Source organism: Homo sapiens, chromosome 6, assembly GCF_000001405.40.
Source record: "Homo sapiens chromosome 6, GRCh38.p14 Primary Assembly".
Lineage (NCBI taxonomy): Eukaryota > Metazoa > Chordata > Mammalia > Primates > Hominidae > Homo > Homo sapiens.
In genome coordinates this window covers 37,227,760-37,249,167 of record NC_000006.12, presented here as the reverse complement: position 1 = coordinate 37,249,167, position 21,408 = coordinate 37,227,760, and the positions used below count along the sequence as shown (strand labels likewise).

Here is a 21,408-nt window from a genome sequence, read left to right as displayed (position 1 = left end):
ATGTTATGTTATTCAGAAAAAGGATCTTTAACAGATATTAAGTTAAAGATTTTGAGATGAGATCATCTTGGACTGCTTGGCTGGGTCTCAAATCCAATGACAAGTGTTGTTTTATGAGAGAAGATACAGACAGAAGAGAAGGAGGCAGTGTGACCACAGAGGCAGATTGGAGTGATGCAGCCACAAGCCAAGGAATACCTGGAGCCACCAGAACCCAGAAGGGTCAGGAAAGGATTCTCTGCCAGAGACTTTGAAGCATGAGTTTACTTGATTTAGGACTTCTAGCCTCCAGAACCTTAAGAGAACAAATTTCTATTGTTTTATGCCACTATGTTTGTTGTTATTTGTTGCAGAGAAGTCCTAGGAAGCTCATGCAGGATATAAAGAAAAAGTTGATCTCCCTCACAACTTTTTGCCCATTGCCACCTATTTCTGCTCCCCAGAGGCAACCACTGTTGCCAGTTCCTTGTTCGCCATCCTTATAGAGATATTCTTAAAGAGACTCCTAGTAATTGGCAGGAACATTGAAAATCATTTTACAGATGAGAAGACTGAAGCTCAAAGAGAGGAAGAGGCTTGCCTGAGGACCCTCAAGCTAGATGAACAGCAACCCAGGTTTCCTATTTCTTGTGCTCCTTTAATGTAAGAGAAGTAACTAGAAGCAGATTTTGATATTAGGCTAAAGAGAAAGAAGAGCAAGGTATTGGGTGAGTGAAGGGAGGGGAATGCCATGAAGGTGAGAAAGGGGGTAAAAACATATGATTTTGCCTCAGGTTGACCTCAATTCAATGCAGCACTGCACCAGATCATTGCCACACACTGTAGATAGAAATTAATTCTTCTAACTAGCTTTTATTGAGCATCTACTGTATTCCTGGCACTAAACTATATTAAGCACTGTAAACATACAGCCCCTGTCCTCAACAAGTGTATAATCTAGTAGAGGAGTCTGGTTAGTAAGTAAAGCAGCATGACAAGTGATAAAAATGGAGGTGTATACTATAATATGTCCTAAGAAGACACAGAGTGGAGCATGATCCTCTCTGATTGGGAAGCTGAGGAAGGCCTTGAAAGATGAGTGTGATTTTACTAGGTAAAGAGGCAGGGAAAAGCATCCTAGGCAGAAGAATGAGACCTACATGGAACTATGGATGTCTACAAGGAGAAATTACATATGAGAAACTGTAGGAGATGCTGTCAGTACCTCACCCACATCCCTCATCCTCTTCATGTGCCTGAAGGCTCTTCCCCCATCTCCCGAGAACTATGGAAAACCATGCTGTTCACACTCATGGCATATTGGAAATGTCTAAGAGTTAACTCCTCCTGGGAGCAGCCCTCAACTAGTGACTGACTCTCAGGAGTTGGTAAACACCCAAGCTCCTTCAACACTTACAGGGGATAATTCTGAGGTGTGTGTTTCTCAGAGTTTTTTTCACAGGATTAAGCTCCTGTTGTCCATTGTGGTAGTTGGCTTAATAGTTTGCCCTTGCCGGGTTCATGCCTGTAATCCCAGCACTTTGGGAGGCCGAAGTGGGTGAATCACGAGGTCAGGAGATCGAGACCATCCTGGCCAACATGGTGAAACCCCATCTCTACCAAAAATACAAAAATTAGCTGGTTGTGGTGGCACGCACCTGTAGTCCCAGCTACTTGGGAGGCTGAGGCAGTAGAATTGCTTTAACCCGGGAGGCAGAGGTTGCAGTGAGCTGAGGTCGCGTCACCGCACTCCAGCCTGGCAACAGAGCGAGACTCCATCTCAAAAAAAAAAAAAAAAAGTAAAAAAGTTCGCCCTTTATTGACTGCCTTCCTTCCCCTATATCACTTCTACCTCTTTCCCCACTCGTGTTTCTGTCACCTCCAAATAAACTACTTGGACTCAAATCCTTGTCTCAGGGTCAGCTTCTTGGAGAATCCAAACTAAAATTAACCATAAGTAGCTCTACATGGTAAGACCAAAGAGTACAAGGAATGGTGTGCAGGGACAAAAGATACTGCAGCAGGGGTCTATCATAGTAGACTTCTAAGGCCATATAAGTCTTATGTTACCTTTTCCTCTAGGCAATGGGACATTCATTGCCAGTTTAAGCTGGGACATGACATGACCAGATCTGCATTGTAGAAGGACCACTCTAGTCACATATCTATTAAATGGCTTCTGCTACACTTAGAATGAAATCCAAACTCCTAACCATGCCTGATAGGTACTGCGGGACCCGGCACCTGGCTGTCTCCCCATCTTCTGAGAATTTTTTTTTTTTTTTTGAGACAGAGTCTTGCTCTGTTGCCCAGGCTAGAACGCAGTGGCACAATCATGGCTCACTGCGGCCTTGACCTCCCATGCTCAAGCAGTCCTTCCACCTGAACCTCCTGAATAGCTGGGATCATAGCATGTGCCACCACATCAGCTAATTTTTAAAATTATTTTGTAGAGATAGGGTCTCACTATGTTGCCCAGGCTAGTCTCAAACTCCTGAGCTCAAGTGATCCTCCCGCCTCAGCCTCCCAAAGTGCCGGGGTTACAGACGTGAACCACCATGCCCAGCCTGAGAAATGTCTATTTAATTTGGCAATTGTGAGTTGACCCTAATGGCACAGCAGGGTCAGAAGCCAGATGAAGAGTAGAAGTAGACCAGATTATTGTCAGTTTTTCACTCCCTCTTGCAGTGCATGAGAGTAGATGGAGTATATTTCCCTGCAAGACTTCTGGCCAGTGGAATGTGAGCAAAAGTAACAGTTTGCCTCAAGAAGTATCATATGTTTCCACTCCCATGCCTGCACTATGAGAAGAGCATGCCCTGGGGAGCTACTGGCCCAAGGAAGATAACAGACATGTGGGAGCAGACAAAAATCCAGACTGAAGCCTGGAACCCACTCCAGGCAACCTTCAGCCTGAAGCTTGAATAAGAAAAATAGATGCTTGTGGTTTTAAGCCACTGAATTTTGCATCATTGTTGTGGCAAAAGCTGATTACTGCAGGAGAGAATTAGAGGAGAAGTAGAAGAGAAAAGTGAGCCAAGAATACGCTTTCAAGAAACTTAGCTGTCAAGAAAATGAGAGCCTGTTGGCCGGGCGCAGTGGCTCACGCCTGTAATCCCAGCACTTTGGGAGGCCGAGGCAGGTGGATCACTTGAGGTCAAGAGTTCGAGACCAGCCTGACCAACATGGAGAAACCCCTTCTCTACTAAAAAAAATACAGAATTAGCCGGGCTTGGTGGTGCACGCCTGTGATTACAGCTACTCGGGAGGCTGAGGCAGGAGAATCGCTTGAACCCGGGAGGCAGAGGTTGCGGTGAGCCAAAATTGCGCCATTGCACTCCAGCCTGGGCAACAAGAGCAAAACTCCCTCTCAAAAAAAAAAAAGAAAGAAAGAAAGAAAGAAAAGAAAAGAAAATGAGAGGCTAGTAGATCTCCTCCTCCATCTCCTCCTCCTCCTCGTCCTCCTCCTGCTCTTCCTCCTCCTCCTCCTCCTGCTCCTCCTCTTCCTTATTGTCACTGTTGTTCTGTGTTGGTGTTTTTGCTGCCCATGATATAAATCCCTTTCCCACATACGGAGAATTTCCCACTCTATGAAACTCATTGGGAAGCAGAGCCCACCTCCTAGTATTATAGCTGAAAATGCCAGCTACTTATTTTCCCAACCTTCCTGTGAACTAAGTCATGGCACATGTTGTGGGCTCTGCTAATAAAATGCACCCACTCTAGACTTCGAATCGGGAGGAGTTTGTGATGCAAAGAAGCAGAAGCAGCACAGAATCCATTCCACTAATGGGCAATGCCAGCATGGCAGCAACCCCCAGTTTGGGAGAATAGCTGTGGCAACAGCAACATTCAGGATCTGGTGCTGAGCCTCTCAGTGTACCTATGGAGTCAAATGCTCATTAGCAGCAGTGGCAGTGTCTTCAGTGACCCAGCTCTGTGTTATGATGTTGGGGCTACCTACCGCCCTGTAAGGAAAAACCTCTGAACATAGTATGGTAGATTGGTTGCATTCACGATCTTAATTCTTCACTGGAGGATCTCATCTTGTTGGACTTCCTCATTCTGACTGGGCTCACCCTTTTGACTTACTTTGGTCAATGGGATGTTAGTAAACATTACCCAAGCCATGGCTTGCAAAGCACTTGTGTGATTGGCTTGCTGTCACTGTTGCTCTCTGCCATTGCCATGAGAACATGTCTAGGCTAGCCTGCTGGATGATGAAAAACATGTGGAACTAGGCCAAGTCTCCCTAAGTTATCCCAGCTGAGGCCATCCTAGTTCAGCCAACAGCCAGTTGAGCCTTTGACGTATGAATTAGCTGAGCCAAAATCAACAAAATTGCCTGGCCAACCAACAGTTGACCTCAGACACTTGAGCGAGTCCAGCTGAGATCAGCTCAGCTCAGCCCAGCCCAGCCCCAGATAAACTGAACCTCACAAACTTGTGTATTAAATACATGTCCATTGTTACATGCCATTGTGGTTTTATGGTTGTTTATGTGATGTTATTGTGACAATATACGGCCAACACACATATGATTCTCCAGATTTCTCCACAAGTCTATGAGCCATGGTTTTTCTGCTTAAATCAGCCAAGAGTTGGCACTTGTTGCTTGCTCTGACTTACACAGAGAAAGACTGAAAGTAAATTAGAGAGAAACATGGGGTCAAGGGAGAAGTTGAGGTAGACGAGACTTCAACATGTTTATAGGCCAAGGATTGGAGGCAGTTGTATTTGTTAGGCTATAAGTGTAGCTGGAAAATAATAGTGCTTTAGACACAATAGAAGTTTACGGTTTTTCTCCCTCATGTGAAAGAAGTTTACAGTTTTTCTCCCATAGGGGTTTCAGCCTCTGGTGAAACTGCCTTTGCAAAACTACGACAGTAAGAGAAATCTGACACAGTTGACTCCTTCTTGCTTCTAACCTCCAGATTCTCCTTGTTCATTCCTATGCATAAGCCAAACTTTGGAAAGAATTTAGTTTACATTTTAACCTTAAAGCAAAGATGACAATAGCCCTTCCCAAAACTAAACCACCTTTGTAAAACTAATAAAAGTCCACAAGGTTAGGATTATGAGAGGGGCCTGAGTTCTACTAAAATGTAGGTGGAGTTAAATGATAACCAGCCACTGTTCCAGAGGTCACAAAATTTGTAACTTCCCCAGTTCCCCTGTAGATAACATCACTACTGTAGAACCTAAGATTGGCCTTTTGAGACGTCTTTTCAGACTTGCATTTCTGAGGACTGGCTGACTCCATGTGGGCTCCTGGCTCCTGACTGAACCGGTCCTGTGCACCCCCCCATCCAGAGGCAGACTCAGCACACAAGGAGTTTTCCACATCCTTATGATGGCATTCCCCACCAGTCAGCACCACCCATTCCCTAGTCCTCTGCTCACCAAACTATCCTCGAAAAACCCTAGCCAGGTGTGGTGGTGCATGCCTGTAATCCCAGCTAGTTGGGATGCTGAGGCAGGAGAATCGCTTGAACCCAGGAGGCGGAGGTTGCAGTGAGCCGAGATCATGCCATTGCACTCCAGCCTGGGCAACAAGAGAGAAACTCTGTCTCAAAAAACAAAACAAAACAAAACCCTAACCTCTGAGCCTTTGGGGAGATTGATTTGAGTAATAACTCCATATCCCATATGATATGGCCAGCCTCATATCAATTAAACTCTTTCTTTACTGCAGTGTCATGGTCTCAGTGAATTGGTTTTGTCTGTGTAGCAGGCAGGAAGAACCCACTGGGCAATTACACTGGGAAGAAGGACAGGGAGAACATGACCTTTCTCTTCAATACCTGGTGGTTTCCTCCATTTTTTTCCCCCTTTCAATCCATTCTCAGGACTTGGTCACATGACCACACTCAGCTGCACAGAAAGCTGGAAAACGTAAACCTTATTCTGGCCAACCGAATTTATAACTAAACGCCCTGTTTCAGAGTGGAAGAAGGGGCAAACAGAGAGTAATAGCCCTTGCCAAATTAAAGAAGATGGAATAATTAATGGGACAACATCTCCGTGGTGGACTTTATTAGTTATTTCCTTCCATATTCTTTTTTAAGGGGGCTCTTTTTTTTGTAGGGGCAGGGCAACTGTGTTCACAGTGTGGGCATAAATCATAATTTACCTAAACAAGTTATGGCGATCCCATTCAACTTTGCCAGAAACTTGCTTTCCCAGCCTCTCCTGCAGCTACATGTGCCATGTGACCCAGTTCTGACCAATGAGCCATGAGAAGAAGACTGCTAGGGGTTTTCTGGGAAATGTTTTACTTCCTATGAAAGAGACAAACATGGAAGAGAGCTTACTGGCACACTCCTGCCTGGGATACTGGTGTGAGTCACTGGGGCAGTCAGCTTATGACCACAAAAGTAAGGCCAAAGGAATTACAGATGCCAACCTAGAGCCCTGACACCTTTTTAAGGATCTGAATACCTTGAGAGATGAGCAGGTGAAGAAGGGGAGAAAAAATATTTGAGGAAGTGGGAGTATTAGATACATGAGAAGGAATGCTTAGCAATACCCCTGGAAAGTTGGGTCCCAGTCAGATCATGAGGGCTTTGTATGAAGTAGTGTGATTTACTGTCAGAATTACCTCATTCCAAGCTGGGGCTGGTTTCCCTGTTTGTCAGCTGATTCACCACCAAAGCATGACAGGCTTTTCTCTTTGTAGGCTTAAGAAGACTGCCCATCTCTTCCCCACTCAGAGAGTTAAAGAACTTTTGTTTTGGAAAATCTAGGCTCTTAAAGGCAAAGAAAAGATCTAGATGATATGGATGAGTAGGGAGTGCTGATTTGAAAAGTTGAGGGTGAATAGAATGGTTCCCAGCTTTCTACAGCATGTGGAATTTCCTTCCCTTGGGGGGAATAGAGAGGTACAGGTTCTGCCCACCGTGGGGGCCTGTGTTTGACTCTCTCCCAGACCCCAGAGTGGCAGAATGTTTGATGGGTTAGCTGAGTGGACACTTGGCTGGGGACTGAGCTCTAAGCCATAGTCTCCAGGGCTATGAGCAGTGGGACCACTGAAGTCTGGACATCAAGCCCTTCACAGTGACCACACTGTCTTGAAGTCTAGAACTCTTCCCTCAGATTCCAAGATTGGGTGAACTCAGGGGGTTCTATGTGACTCCATCAAGGGGCAGGGAAAGAGCAGGCAAAAAAAAAAAAAAAAAAATTGAGATCGAATTTTTCCCTAACTCCCTGAGGAAGCAGGCCAAAACAGACTTCATATTACTTTTTGAAAATAAAGACAACGCGATAAAGCCATCTCTTGTGTTAGTGTTTAGTTACAGTGCAAATTTACACGGTTACATACAAAGCCAAGGAAAAGGAGTGAGAAGAGGTCATAAATTATCTCAATAACTTTTTTAAAAAGTTAATGGAGTTTTAAATAAGAAAATATAGAATGTATGTCTCTAAGAATTCAAGCTTATATATATACAAAATGTCCATTTGTATTTTAAAAATCTAATTAAATTGGCCTGGATATTGCCAGACTAGAAAAAAATTCAATCTCTCTTATCACTGGGGATCCCTCTGGCTCCCAGGGATGACCCAGAATCCAGATGTAGAACCTGGAACAGAAAACCTGTAGCATCACTGGGGGTGCTGACAGCTGCCTCATGCCAGCCCAAGAATGGGGACCTTGGATCCTGCCAGCACCTGCTTCTAGCCGCACATGAGTTGTAGGAATCCTTACTGAGGTTGGAGGAGGGAAGACAGAATCCCTAGTGCTCAGGGTCCAGTCCCCTCTCCAGGTACAATGCTGAGATGTCGCTTTTGAGGTCCTGCTTCCCTCCTTGGAGCTCTGCCGCTGAGGAGTGAAGGGTCTTCATATTCCCCACCACGTAGACAGCCACCTTTTTTTTCTTTGACAAAGAGTAACACCTTTAGCCTGGGCAACATAGTGAGACCCCGTTTCTAAAAAAAAAAAATTAACCAGGTATGGTGTCACGCAGCTGTAGTTCTAACTACTTGGGAGACTGGGGCCCAGGAGGTCAAAGGTGCAGTGAGCCAAGATTGTGCCACTACACTCCAGCCTGGGAGACAGAGCAAGACCCTGTCTCAAAAAAAAAAAAAAAAAGAGTAATACTTTTATTATATATAGAACTCATGCACATTGAAAAAATGCTAATATCCTGATACATTAATATATTAAGTAAAGACATAACTTGCAAAAAGGTCAGTAAAACTGGTTAACAAATACTTCATAAATGTTCAACCTTAGGAATAATCAATAAGATACAAAAATTAAAATATTTTCACCTACTACTAGGTTAAATGAAGAGAATAAATCAAAATAGAATCTTAAAATAGTAATACCAAATGATAGCAAATGTGTGCTAAAACAGATAGGTACATATATTTTTGATGGAAGAGTGAATTAGTAACAACCATTTGATGTTTTGTTTTTATGTCTTTTTTTAAATTTATTTTTCTGTTTTAAATTAATCATGTTTCTCAAATACACACACATACATGTATACATACATAGAGATGTGATAGCCGGCCTCAAGTTTGCCTCAATAATCCTGGCCTCCTGGTATTTACACCCTTATGTTGTCCTCTCCCCATAGTCCCCTGCAGGGTCAGTGAGTGTGACCAATTAAATAGCTGAAGTGATGGATATCACTTCTGAGATTACTAAGACAGTGCAGCTTCCATTTTGGTCTCTCTCTCTCTCTCTCTCATCACTTACTCTGGGGGAAGCCAGTGGCCATGTCATGAGGAAATTCAAGTGGACTATAGAAAGGCCCAGGAGGTGAGGAACTGAGTTCTCTGGCCAACAGCCAAGAAAGAACTGTGGCTTCCTGCCAACAGTCAGAGAGAGCGAGCTTGGATGAAACTTCCCTCCCACAAGTAGAGCCTTTAGATGGCCCCCAGCCCAGGCCAACAGCTTGACAGCAGCCCTGTGAGAAACCTTGAACCAGAACCACCCACCTACGCTACTCTTGGATTCCTGACTCATGGAAATTATGAGATAATAAATGTTTTATATCATAAGTGTCTAAGGTTTGAGGTAATTTGTTACAGAGCAATAGTGACTAATACAAGAGTTCAGAGGGCAAAACAGTCACACATACTTAAAGGCTTTAAAAAGTCCCAGCAGTTTTCTGTCTCGCCTCTTCTTAGCCACCCAGACACATTACCCAGAGGCTACTGACCAAGTGCTAGGCTGCCACTGCCAGATTTCCTGTTAGAAGAAGAAAATAAATTTCTAGTTGTTTAAACTACTATTGTTTGAGTCTCTGTTCCTTGCAGCCAAATGCATTCTTCTTTTTTTTTTTTTTTAATGAGCTGGGGTCTCACCATGTTGCCCAGGCTGGTCTGAAACCCCTGGGCTTAAGTGATCCTCCTATTTAAGGGGAGGATCTTAACCGATATAGATGAATTAGGCTCTAAAGCTTTATAATGTGTTCGTTGTCATTGTTATTTTCCTCCCTAACCCAGTGTTGCAAGAGATCCATCTGAAATGAGTTGGCAGCAACATATTCTACTGAGATCACAAGTCAACTTGATGAGAGCAATTGAAAATAAAAAGTTCTTACCATGATTGAGTAAATCTAAGGTGCCGTCAACTGCAAAATGCATCATTATCTTAGGTACCACTGAAATACAAATATCATTAATTACACTATGCTTCAATGCTTTCTCATATCTTAGAATTTTATTTACTTATTTATTTATTTATTTATTTATTTATTTTTTAAGACAGAGTCTTGCTCTGTCACCCAGACTGGAGTTCAGTGGCACGATCATGGTTCACTGCAGCCTCGGCCTCCTGGGCTCAAGCAGTCCTCCCAAGTAGCTGGGACTACAGGCGTGGCCACCAAGCCCAGCTAATTTTTGTATGTTTTGTAGAGATGGGTTTTTGCCATCTTGCCCAGGCTAGTCTCAAACTCCTGGGCTCAAGTGATATGCCCACCTTGGCCTCCCAAACTGCTGGAATTATAGGCATGAGCCACTGTGCCCAGCCCATGACTGAATTTTTATTGTATGCTTATCAAAATAATTTTTAATACTTATTTAGACATACGGCTTTTGTTTTTGTTTTGGAGACAGAGTCTGTGTCACCCAGGCTGGAGTGCAGTGGCATGATCTCGGCTCACTGCAACCTCTCCACCTCTTAGGTTCAAGTGATTCTCATGCCTCAGCCTCCCTAGTAGCTGGGATTACAGGCATGTGCCAACATGCCTGGCTAATTTTTGTATTTTTAGTAGAGACAGGGTTTCACCCTGTTGGCTGGCTGGTCTTGAACTCCTGACTTCAGGTGATCTGCCTGCCTTGGCCTCCTAAACTGCTGGGATTACAGGCGTGAGCCACCATGCCCAGCCTAGACATAGATTTTTTAAAATCATATATCAATACTTAGAAGAATACTCAACCTCAAGAGTAACCAATAAAATGTAAAAAGTAAGTCTCTCCCTTTCATGTTGGCATCCTTAGCCTACTTGTTTTTGTCTTCATGCTTGTTGCTTCAGTAACAAAATAGCTGCTGAGGCTGCAGGCATCACACCACATTCAAGGCAAGAAAAAGGAAGAAGTGAGAATGGTGCCAGCCACATCATCTTCTCTTACCAGGAAAGGCAAAAGTCTTCCTAGATCTTCCAGCAGGTTTCTGCTTATATGTCATTTGCTAGAACTGTGTGCCATGAACACCCTGGATACAAGCAAAAACCTGGAAAAGCACATATTTTGCCTGGGTCTGGGCTCATTGCCATCCTGAGAGAAAGCAGACTTCTGGTAGCAAAGAAGGTGGAAATAGGTATTGGGAAGGAAGCTAACGGTGTCTGCTACAACACAGCTTAATAAATAGTAGTTTTATATGCATAATAAATAGTAGCTACTCCTTGGCATAAAGTAAAAATAATGATAACAAAAATACTTACATAATTATATTGTGTAAGTGCTTACTATGTGCCAGGAACTGTTCTGAATGTTTTAAATATGTTAACTCATTTAATCTTCACAGCAATTTTGTGAGGTAAATGTTACTATCCTTGGTTTTTTTTTTTCAGTGTTTTTAATTCTACTTTATATACATACAATTAGATTGATCATAATCCCTGGTTCATGACATACCCTCATTGGTCCATGCATGGCTCTCTTTTGTTTACTTTTTAAATATTAGTTATTGTAAATAATATATAGACACCTTCAAATCCCCTGTCCAAAATAAAATTAGTGTCTGGTCAGCAATTTGCATCTGGCTGTATGGTACCCCCAACACATTTTACTTCCTCCCCTGGCCAAGGTGATCATCATCCAGAATTCTGAGCTCATTATCCTTCACTTTGCTTTTCATACAGTTTTAGAGTTTTCTTGCATCTATATAAAGTCCTAAAAATATGTGTGTGTAGTGTGTGTGTATATATATAGAGAAAGATGGTTGTTTTTAACTGTATGTCTTTAGTACTTTTTTCACTTGATATTACATTGTTAAGATTCTACCATATTGTTGTATGTTGCTACAGTTGTTCCTTTTGACTCCTGTTTAACACTCCCATTGTGCAAATATGTAGCAGTTTATTCATCCTGAAACCATTCTTTACTGAAGTGCCTATAACATTCTTATTGATTTTCTCTTTTCTGGTTATTAACTGGTCTAATTCTGTTACATTCAAGCTTTGCATATGATTCTAGCAGTTTTCCAATATCCTTTTTAATGTCTGCATGAAGTCCTGAATCTTCTGCAAGACTTGCAATAATTTCTTGCAAACGACTTGCCTTGTGTTGTGTGTTGTCAGATATTTACAGTGGGCTACCAGAGAGAGGCTGACCAATAAAGATTTTGACTTGATGGGGTCTTGGTGCACACAGAGAGCCCTTCATTTCAGCAAGGAGGAATGTTGCAGGACTGAGGGAGGCAGAGAATGTCAATTCACTTGTGAATATTTTCTTGTCATGATGACTTTTGTTTCCCTGGGCAACCTGGCAAATGCGGGAACTTTGATTGTGAACACTCAGATACTCAGAAGTCCCTACATCTTGGCAAATTCTTTAACACTTCTCCCACAAAAGGTAGAATCTAATTCCTCTCCCCTTGAATATGGCCTTGGTGACTCACTTCTAAAGAATAGTGTCCAGGAAACGTGTTGCTATGGGACTTCTGAGGCTAGAATAAGAAAAGGTGATACAGCTTCCATCTGGCTTGCTCTTTTTGGGACACTCATTCTGGAGAAGCCAGTCATCAGGCTGTGAAGGAGCCCAAAGGAGCCCACACAGAGAGACCATGGAGAAGCCCACATGGATGGGCACTGAGGCCTCCAACTGACAGCCAAGAGCAATCGCCAGGCATCTGAGTGAGTCTTCTAGGAGAGGCTACAAAGTTTGAGGAGAAGTAGCAAGTCATCCTGGACATGCCCTGTCTAAATTCCCCACAATGTACAAAATTAAGCTAACTGTGCTCTGTCTGAAGTCCTCACCCACAGAATCCATTCACATAATAAATGGTTATCTTATGCTACTAAGTTTTGGGGTAATTTGTTATAGAAATTAATAAAATTAGTAAAAAAAAAAATAGTACTGGCACATCCAATTTAAAGATGAGCAAACTGAGACTTGGAGAGAATAAATTCACAGTAAATGGTGAAGCCAAGATTGAAGCCTGGGCATTTGACTTGCAAATTTGCGGATCTCAACCTTGATACCCTCCCTATAATGGCCTATTATTCCCTTGCATTTTCAGGATATCCTTGGTTACTCAGAACACAACTAATTAGCTTACTCTCCCACCCCAGGATTGAACCTGGGAGGGCAATGCTACCACCAAAAAAATACACATGCTCATACTCTAAAAATAACCCACTCAGAAAGGGTTAAACTGAGCTGCAGATTGGCAAATGATAAATGCTTAGTTCAGGGCCTAAAAAACAAAGAGTATTTAAAAATAAATGGCCAGGCACAGTGGCTCATGCCTGTAATCCTAGCACTCGTGGGAGGCAGAGGTGGGAGAATCACTTGAGCCCAGGAGTTCAAGACCAGCCTGGGCAACATAGTGAGACCATGTCTCTGTTTTTTTAAATTGTTTTTAAATTAAAAATAAAATAAACACTACACACTTTTTTCAGTTCAAACACGATGATGTTAAAGTGGGATGAAAGGATAAAAATCAGCTTTATTTTACAATGTTTTGTTATGGTAATGATTTTTTATTTATCTAGCTTTATTTTTCTAGTATGAATATTTTAAACTCTACATAAAGATATTGCTGTGGTTTGAATGTGTTTGACCCCTCCAAAATTCATGTGTTGAAACTTAATCCCCATAGTGGTGGTATTAAGAGATAGGGACTTTGGGGAAGGGATTAAGTCATGAGGGTTCCTTCAAAATGGGTTAGTGCTTTATAAAAGGACTAGAGGGAACTAGTTTAGGTCCCCTTGCCCTTCTACTTTCCTCCCTGTGAGGACACAGCAACAAGGCGTCATCTTGGAAGCAGAGAGCAGTCCTCACCAGACACTAATGCCAGTGCCTTGATCTTGGACTTTCCAGCCTCCAGAACCATAAGAAATACATTAGGCCAGGCGTGGTGGCTCACGCCTGTAATCCCAGCACTTTGGGAGGCCAAGGTGGACGGATCACAAGGTCAGGAGATCGAGACCATCCTGGCTAACATGGTGAAACCCCATCTCTACTAAAAAATAGAAAAAATTAGCCAGGCGTGGTGGCGGGTGCCTGTAGTCCCAGCTACTCAGGAGGCTGAGGCAGGAGAATGGCGTGAACCTGGGAGGCGGAGCTTGCAGTGAGCCGAGATGGCACCACTGCACTCTAGCCTGGGCGACAGAGCAAGACTCTGTCTCAAAAAAAAATAATAATAAAAGAAATACATTTGTATTCTTTATATATTACCCAGTCTGTGGTGTTCTGTTATAGCAGCATAAATGGTCTAAGACAGATATCTTTAATTTAAAACAATTTAAAATGTTGCCAACATTCCAAGATGGAATTGGAATCACTTCCAATTGTGTAGTATTTGAAGTAATATATCATTTCCAGAAATTTTCACAAGTAAAAAAAGCTTTGTTCTATCCCCAGCTACTTCTCATGATAATGTTTTTAGCTCATGGTTTAGACTATGACAGAGTTATCCAGCTGTCCTTCCACATTGCCAGCTTTAACCATTTTGCAGTTAAGAAGATACTGTGTTTTTTAAAAAGCCACACCAGCATAAGGGTAGCCAGTGGGATTTATTTAATGATCTGGGTTTATTAGGAATTCATGAAATAATTATATTTTCATAAATTTATTTTTATTAAAATTGTGCATGGGTGTGTAATATTAATATGTAAACCTTATAATAAAACCAGCATTTCTCTTTTCTTCCTTCCCTATCCCTATTCATACTTTTCACAGGTAACCACTTTCAGTTCTTCTATTTCCCCTCCTATTTATCTCTTTATCTCAAAATTACATGTGTATACCGATATTTATTTTATTTTCTTTTTTTTGAGATGGAGTCTCACTCTGTCGCCTAGGCTGGAGTGCAGTGGCACCATCTCGGCTCAGTGCAACCTCTGCCTCCTAGGTTCAAGTAATTCTCTTGCCTCAGACTCCTGAGTAGCTGGGACTACAAACACAAGCCACCACATCTGGCCAGATGTGGACTTCTTATCCTCTACACACACACTCACTGCCATTCCTCCCAAACTCTTAACTGTATCATCACTAGTGGCTATATCAAGATTACAACTTCATAAGCACAGGTACTCCTCAACTTACGATGAGGTTATGTCCCAATAAACCCATAAGTTGAAAATATTGTTAAGTCAAAAATGCATCTAAGTGGCAAGGCGTGGTGGCTCACGCCTGTAGTTTCAGCACTTTGGGAGGCCAAGGCAGGAGGATCATCTGAGGTCAGGAGTTCGAGACCAGCCTGGCCAACATGGAGAAACCCCACCTCGACTAAAAATACAAAAGTTAGCTGGGTGTGGTGGCGCATGCCTGTAATCCCAGCTACTTGGGAGGCTGAGGCAGGAGAATCATTCAAATCTGGGAGACAGAGGTTGCAGTGAGCCAAGATCACACCACTGCACTCCATCCTGGGTGACAGAGCAAGACTATCTCAAAAAAAAAAAAAAAAAGGCATTTAATACACCTAACCTACCAAACATCATAACTTAGCCTAGCCTACCTTAAATGTGCTAAGAACACTTACATTAGCCTACTGTTGGGCAAAATCATCTAATAAAAAAATACAAAGACTATTTTATAATAAAGTGTTGAATATCTCATGTAATTTATTGCATTACTATACTGAAAGTGAAAATCAGAATGGCTGTATGGGTACTCCAAGTATTGTTTTTACTGAATGCATATCACTTTTGCACCATTGTAAAGTGGAAAAAATTTAAGTCGAACCATCGACTTAAGTTAGTTAGGGACTTAGTTAGTTAGTTAGTTAGTAACTTCGTTAGTTAGCGACTTAAGTAAGTTAGGGACCATCTGTATGGTTAATTGTCCAAAGGAGACGTGATGGTTTTTGGACTATGATGATAGCAGTGGAGATGGTACTACGGTTAGAATGTATATGTCCCTCCAAAATTCATATGTTGGAACTTAAACCCCAGTGTGATGGTAGTAAGAGGTGCAGCCTTTGGGAAAATGATTAAGTCATGAGGGCGCCAACTTTGTGAATGAGATTAATGCCCTCGTAAAAGAGGATTCAGAGAGCTGCCTCTTGCCCTTCCACCTTCTCCCATGTGAGCATGCAGTGGCAAGATGCCACCTGAAAGCAGGGAAAGCCAGCCCTGCTGGTGCCTTAATCTTGGACTTCTCAGCCTCCAAAACTGAGAAATAAATTTCTGTTGTTTATAAATTTCCCAGTCTGTGGTGTTGTGACATATTGCATGAATGGACTAAGATGGATCAGAAAAATAATGATTCAAGAGATTGGTGGGAAGGAGAGTTGATGGAACTTAGTGAGTTTTTTGGATGTTGAGGATGAGCAAGAGGAAGGTACATGGGGAAATGGGTAGAAGAGTGTTAATATCATTTACTTAAATAAGAAAGACCAGAGAAACAGTAGGTGGGGGTGGGAGTTTGGCACAAGCTAAGTTTGAGCAGCCCCAAAAGAGCTCCCAAATGGAGGCATTCTCGTTGAGTATGTCAACTAAAGCTCCAAACTGAAGACCAGATTGGATTGGGAGTCACCAGTGTAGTGGACATTGCATTTGTTCTCAGTGTAGATGGCAGCAGAACCACAGTGAGGTTACCAAAGAAGAGAGTATAAAGTGAGAACAGTCTTGGTTTGTGCACTGAGGGAGACTAGCCTTTAGGAATAAGCAGAAGGAAGCTAATAAAGGAGTCTGAGAAAGAGTTGCCAGACAGGTGAGAGAAAAACAAGGTGAGTTTGGTGTCAGAAGTCAAGAGAAGGTGTTTGAAGAGATAAGGAGTGGTCAACTGAAATGATAAATGGAAGATTCCGCGGAGGGCAGGAGCATGGGCTCTGGAACAGAGATAACAACAGGGTAGAGGAGGAAAGATACTTCCTCTTTGTAACAAAGGAAGGGAGTGTATATGTGGAAATGGGGTTTGTGGATCTGGGACCAAAGGCTTGGACTAGCTGTTGCAGAGAACGGGAGAGGAAGTTAACCAGAGAAGGGTAGTAGGATTTCCCAGCAGTGTTTAGGGCCAGTTAAACTGGTGACCATTAATAGGGTATAAAACTATTGTCAGGAGGCTGAGGCAGGAGAATGGCGTGAACCCCGGAGGCAGAGCTTTCAGTTAGCCAAGATTGTGCCACTGCACTCCAGCCTGGGCGACAGAGCGAGACTCCGTCTCAAAAAAAAGAAAACAAAACAAAACAAAACAGAAAAAACTATTGCATAGGGCCTTTAGTCTAGATTATCCTTGAAGGTTTGGAAAAAGTATATAGAAAATCCATTATGGGCAGGAGCCTTGTGATAGAAAGTTCTCCTGACTTTCGCTATTTCAGCATGTTATTCTGTTTGTGATCTCTAATTCTATTTGCATCAACTTGGGAAAATTCTATTTTTTGGAACGAAGCGTCCTTTTGTACCCATTAATCAAATCTATTAGCCCAGATTTAAGAATAAATTCCATTTCACCCCTCTCTCCCCCCCAACAAAAGACTTACACAAGCAAAAAAGAAAATACCTCATAAGGTGACTTATCCTTCAGCTGCCCAGTTTCAGGTAAGGAGAAAGCAGATAATTCGATTCATGCAAGCTTGAGATTTTTGCCTGGGTCCCACCTCCAGAGATTCTGATTTTAGTAAGTCTGGGCTAGGGACTGAGATTCTGTAATTTTTTTTTAGCCACACAGTCAGGAAGACCTAGGAAGCAGGGGTCTGAGGAAGAATAATGGTCTGAAAGTGGGAAGAAAATCCAAGAGCAGAGTAGCCCCATTTCCTGAAAAAAAAAAATTGTACATTTATCTCTACATTGAAAAAATATATATTATATATAATAACATAATATATATAATATATATATAAAAGATAAAACACCCAGGCAGCATGAGCTTTCTGTTGAATTTTTTTTTTTTTTTTTTGAGATGGAGTCTCACTCTATCGCCCAGGCTGGAGTGCAATGGTGCAATCTCGGCTCACCGCAACCCCACCTCCCGGGTTCACGCCATTCTCCTGCCTCAGCCTCCCGAATAGCTGGGACTACAGGTGCACGCCACCATGACTGGCTAATTTTTGTATTTTTAGTGAAGACGAGGTTTCACCATGTTGGCCAGGATGGTCTCCATCTCCTGACCTCATGATCCGCCTGCCTCGGCCTCCCAAAGTGCTGGGATTAGAGGTATGAGCCACCGCGCCCAGCCTGATTTCTTAAAAATTAAATGGAGGCCAGGTGTGATCACTCACGCCTGTAATCCCAGCACTTTGGGAGGCTGAGGCAGGTGGATCACTTGAGGTCAGGAGTTCAAGACCAGCCTGGCCAACGTGGTGAAAGCCCGTTTCTACAAAAAAAAAAAAAAAAAAAAAAAATTAGCCAGGCATGGTGGCTTGCACCTGTAATCCCAGCTACTTGCAAGGCTGAGGCAGGAGAATCGCTTGAACCCGGGAGGTGGAGGTTGCAGTGAGCAGAGATCATGCGCCTGCACTCCAGCCTGGGACAGAGTAAGACTCCATCTCAAAAAGAAAATAAATAAAAATTAAATTAAACTAAATTAAATGGAATTTAGTGACAGTGGTTTAACTAGGTTCTTGAATTGATTTGGTTTAATCCCATAGCCTAACTTAAACAACAACAACAACAAAAACAAACAATAACAAAAAACCTTTGTGTTGTTATTTAGTTTCACTGAAAAGAAAACTCATTGTTAAAACCCTTCTCAAAAAAATTAACTTAATTTTTATAAGACAACTGCCCAGTGGTAGAGAGGCAATTTACCCAGGTCCAAAGAAGAATTGAAAGGCTGTTCTGCTTAACTGTGTTAAGCAGAATTTTGGCCCCTTTATTGGTTTGCTAGGGCTTCTATAACTACATATCACAGAGTGGCTTAAACAACAGAAATTAATTTTCTCACAGTTCTTGAATTCTGAGATCAAGGTGTCAGTAGCGTTGGGGTTTTTTTGAGGCTTTTTTCCTTATTTTGTAGATGGCCACCCTCACCACCCCTGCGCCATGTTTTCACATGGTCATCCCTCTCTGTGTGTCTGTGTCCTAATCTTCTCTTCTTATAAGAAATGTCAGATTAGGTCTGACACTAATGACCTAATTTTAACTTAATTACCTCTTTAAAGACCCTCTCTCTAAATACAGTCACATTCTGCAGTGCTGCGGGTTAGGATTTCAACATAGAATTGAAATCCCTGGTGACGAGGGGCACAATTCAGCCCATAACAGCCCTTATGGCCTTTGCCCCCTCGTATCACACCTGTGAGTACGCAAAAGGGACTTTGCAGATGCAATTAAGGTTAAGGACCTGAAGGTAAAGAGATTATCTTGGATTAGACAAGTGGGTCCAGTCTTACCACACGAACCCATAAATGGAGAGAACTTTCTCCAGTTAGAGGCAGTGAATTGTGACAGAAGGAGAAGTCAGAGAAATTCCAAGCGTGAGAAGGACTTGATGTACCACTGCTGGCTCTGAGAGCTCAGGAGCAAGGCCTGGAAGGAGGCCTCTGGAAGCCAGGGGTGGCCCTCAGCTAACAGCCAGCAAGGAAGTAGGGATCTTTGTTCTACAAATGCAAGGAAACGAATTCAGCCAACAAACTGAAGGAGGCTAGAAGGGGATTCTTCCCTAGAATTTCCCAAGAAGGGTCCCGCTAGCCCAGGATACCTCCATTTCTACCTTGTGAAACCTGGAGCAGAGAAACCACCAGTTGAGTATTGAGGCAACTGGAACTGGTGACCTACAGAACTGAGATACTATTATAACTGTGTGTTGTAACCACTCAGTTTGTGGTAATTTGTTATGGCAGCAATAGAAAACAAATCAACCAACTGCAGAGTCAGCACATTAAGGAGAAGTACTAGAAATTAAATCTATAGATGGCTGTAACTTAGAATGAGCCAAATAATAAAATGAATCTAACGAAGTTACTAGTAAAACTGAAAGTTGCACATTGGCCGGCGCGGTGGCTCACGCCTGTAATCCCAGCACTTTGGGAGGCGGAGGCGGGTGGATCACGAGGTCAGGAGATCGAGACCATCCTGGCTAACACGGTGAAACCCCGTTTCTACTAAAAATACAAAAAATTAGCCGGGCGTGGTGGCGGGCGCCTGTAGTCCCAGCTACTCGGGAGGCTGAGGAAGGAGAATAGAGTGAACCCGGGAGGCGGAGCTTGCAGTGAGCCGAGATCGCGCCGCTGCACTCCAGCCTGGGCGACAGAGCGAGACACTGTCTCAAAAAAAAAAAAAAAAAAAAAAAAACTGAAAGTTGCTAGGGAGACGAGTCAGATTTTCCAAAGTCCTGTTGAAGAGCGACCTCCCACAGGACAAGGGCTTACTCTGTTCAGTTGAGTTGGCACTAAATGCTGAATAGTTGTTAGTAAATCTGACAGGTAAAAATCTTTATCTGGGTGCCTGAATGCATAAATAATACAAATACACCTCCCTCTTGAAACTATCAACGAGGAAATAAATACACACAATTACAGCTATCCTCAAGATTGTTATGAAACTCTAATACAGTGCCTGGCACAAAGTAAGCTTTTATTAAATGTTCGTTATTATTATTATTATTGTTATTTTGTTTTTTGTTTTTTTTTTGAGACGGAGTCTCTCTCTGTCACCCAGGCTGGAGTGCAGTGGCACAATCTCGGCTCACTGCAAGCTCCACCTCCCAGGTTCACGCCATTCTCCTGCCTCGGCCTCCTGAGTAGCTGGGACTACAGGCACCCGCCACCACGCCCAGCTAATTTTTTGTGTTTTTAGTAGAGACGGGGTTTCACCGTGTTAGTCAGGATGGTCTCGATCTCCTGACCTTGTGATCCGCCTGCCTCGGCCTCCCAAAGTGCTGGGATTATAGGCGTGAGCCACTGCGCCCAGCTATTATTATTATTGAAACGAAATCTTGCTCTGTCGCCCAAGCTGGAGTGCAGTGGCGCGATCTCGGCTCACTGCAACCTCCGCCTCCCAGGTTAAAGCAATTCTCCTCTCTCAGCCTCCCGAGTATCTGGGACTACAGGCACATGCCACCACGTCTGGCTAATTTTTGTATTTTTAGTAGAAACAGGGTTTCACCATATTGGTCAGGCTGGTCTCAAACTCCTGACTTCAGGTGATCCACCCACCTTGGTCTCTCAAAGTGCTGAGATTACAAGCGTGAGCCATCACGCCTGGCCTTATTATTATTTTTTGAGATGGAGTTTCACTCTTGTGAAAATTGCAACATGGCCCTCAAATATGTTTTGTTTGAACAGCACAACCTATTAAGGAAATTTGAATTCAAATACTTTCAGGCAGGTGGACACTGTCCTAATTGCTACAATCTCTACTACTCCCTAGTAACTTTTTCTTTCTTTTTTTTCTTTTTTGAAATGGAGTCTTGCTATGTTGCCCAGGCTGGCCTCAAATTCCTGGGCTCAAGTGATGCTCCTGCCTTAGCCTCTCAAGTAGTTGGGACTATAGGTGCAAGCCACCACACTCAGCCCTAGTATCTTCATACCCCTCAACCTCACCCATTTATTTGACTTGCCTAGCTCTGGAAGTCCTTAGAGTTTGAGACTCTTGCTTTAGAAGTCTCTTTATCTCACTTGATAGAGCAAATGTGAAACTTTCCGTAACATGGAAACATTAACTTTTTTTTCTGTGTTCCTATTTGTGACTTTTTAAATCTCAGTATTGGATCATTTTTTTCCTAAAAACTTTTTCCTATATATATATCTCAAGATATATACAAAGTAAATATTAAATTATGCTTTAATTTTGCAAATTAAAATATTTACTTCACGTAAGCATGTAAGTCAGATGAGATGATGTAATAATGATAAAGATAATGATAATA

The 21,408-nt window shown here is 42.6% G+C and overlaps 2 protein-coding genes across 14 annotated transcripts in view, besides 1 other annotated feature; both read left to right on the top strand.

The window, feature by feature from the left end:
- The window catches only part of TMEM217B (transmembrane protein 217B), a 45,964-nt gene that overhangs the window by 8,977 nt on the left and 15,579 nt on the right, over window positions 1-21,408 (top strand). The window lies entirely within an intron of this gene.
- The window catches only part of TMEM217 (transmembrane protein 217), a 45,964-nt gene that overhangs the window by 8,977 nt on the left and 15,579 nt on the right, over window positions 1-21,408 (top strand). The gene's annotated exons all lie outside the window — the stretch shown is intronic.
- Window positions 8,681-8,975: an enhancer, noted in NCBI's record as "tiled region #10381; K562 Activating DNase unmatched - State 5:Enh". NCBI's record gives its function as "activates a minimal TATA promoter and a strong SV40 promoter by Sharpr-MPRA in K562 cells {active_cell/tissue: K562}" and the evidence as "EXISTENCE:reporter gene assay evidence [ECO:0000049][PMID:27701403]".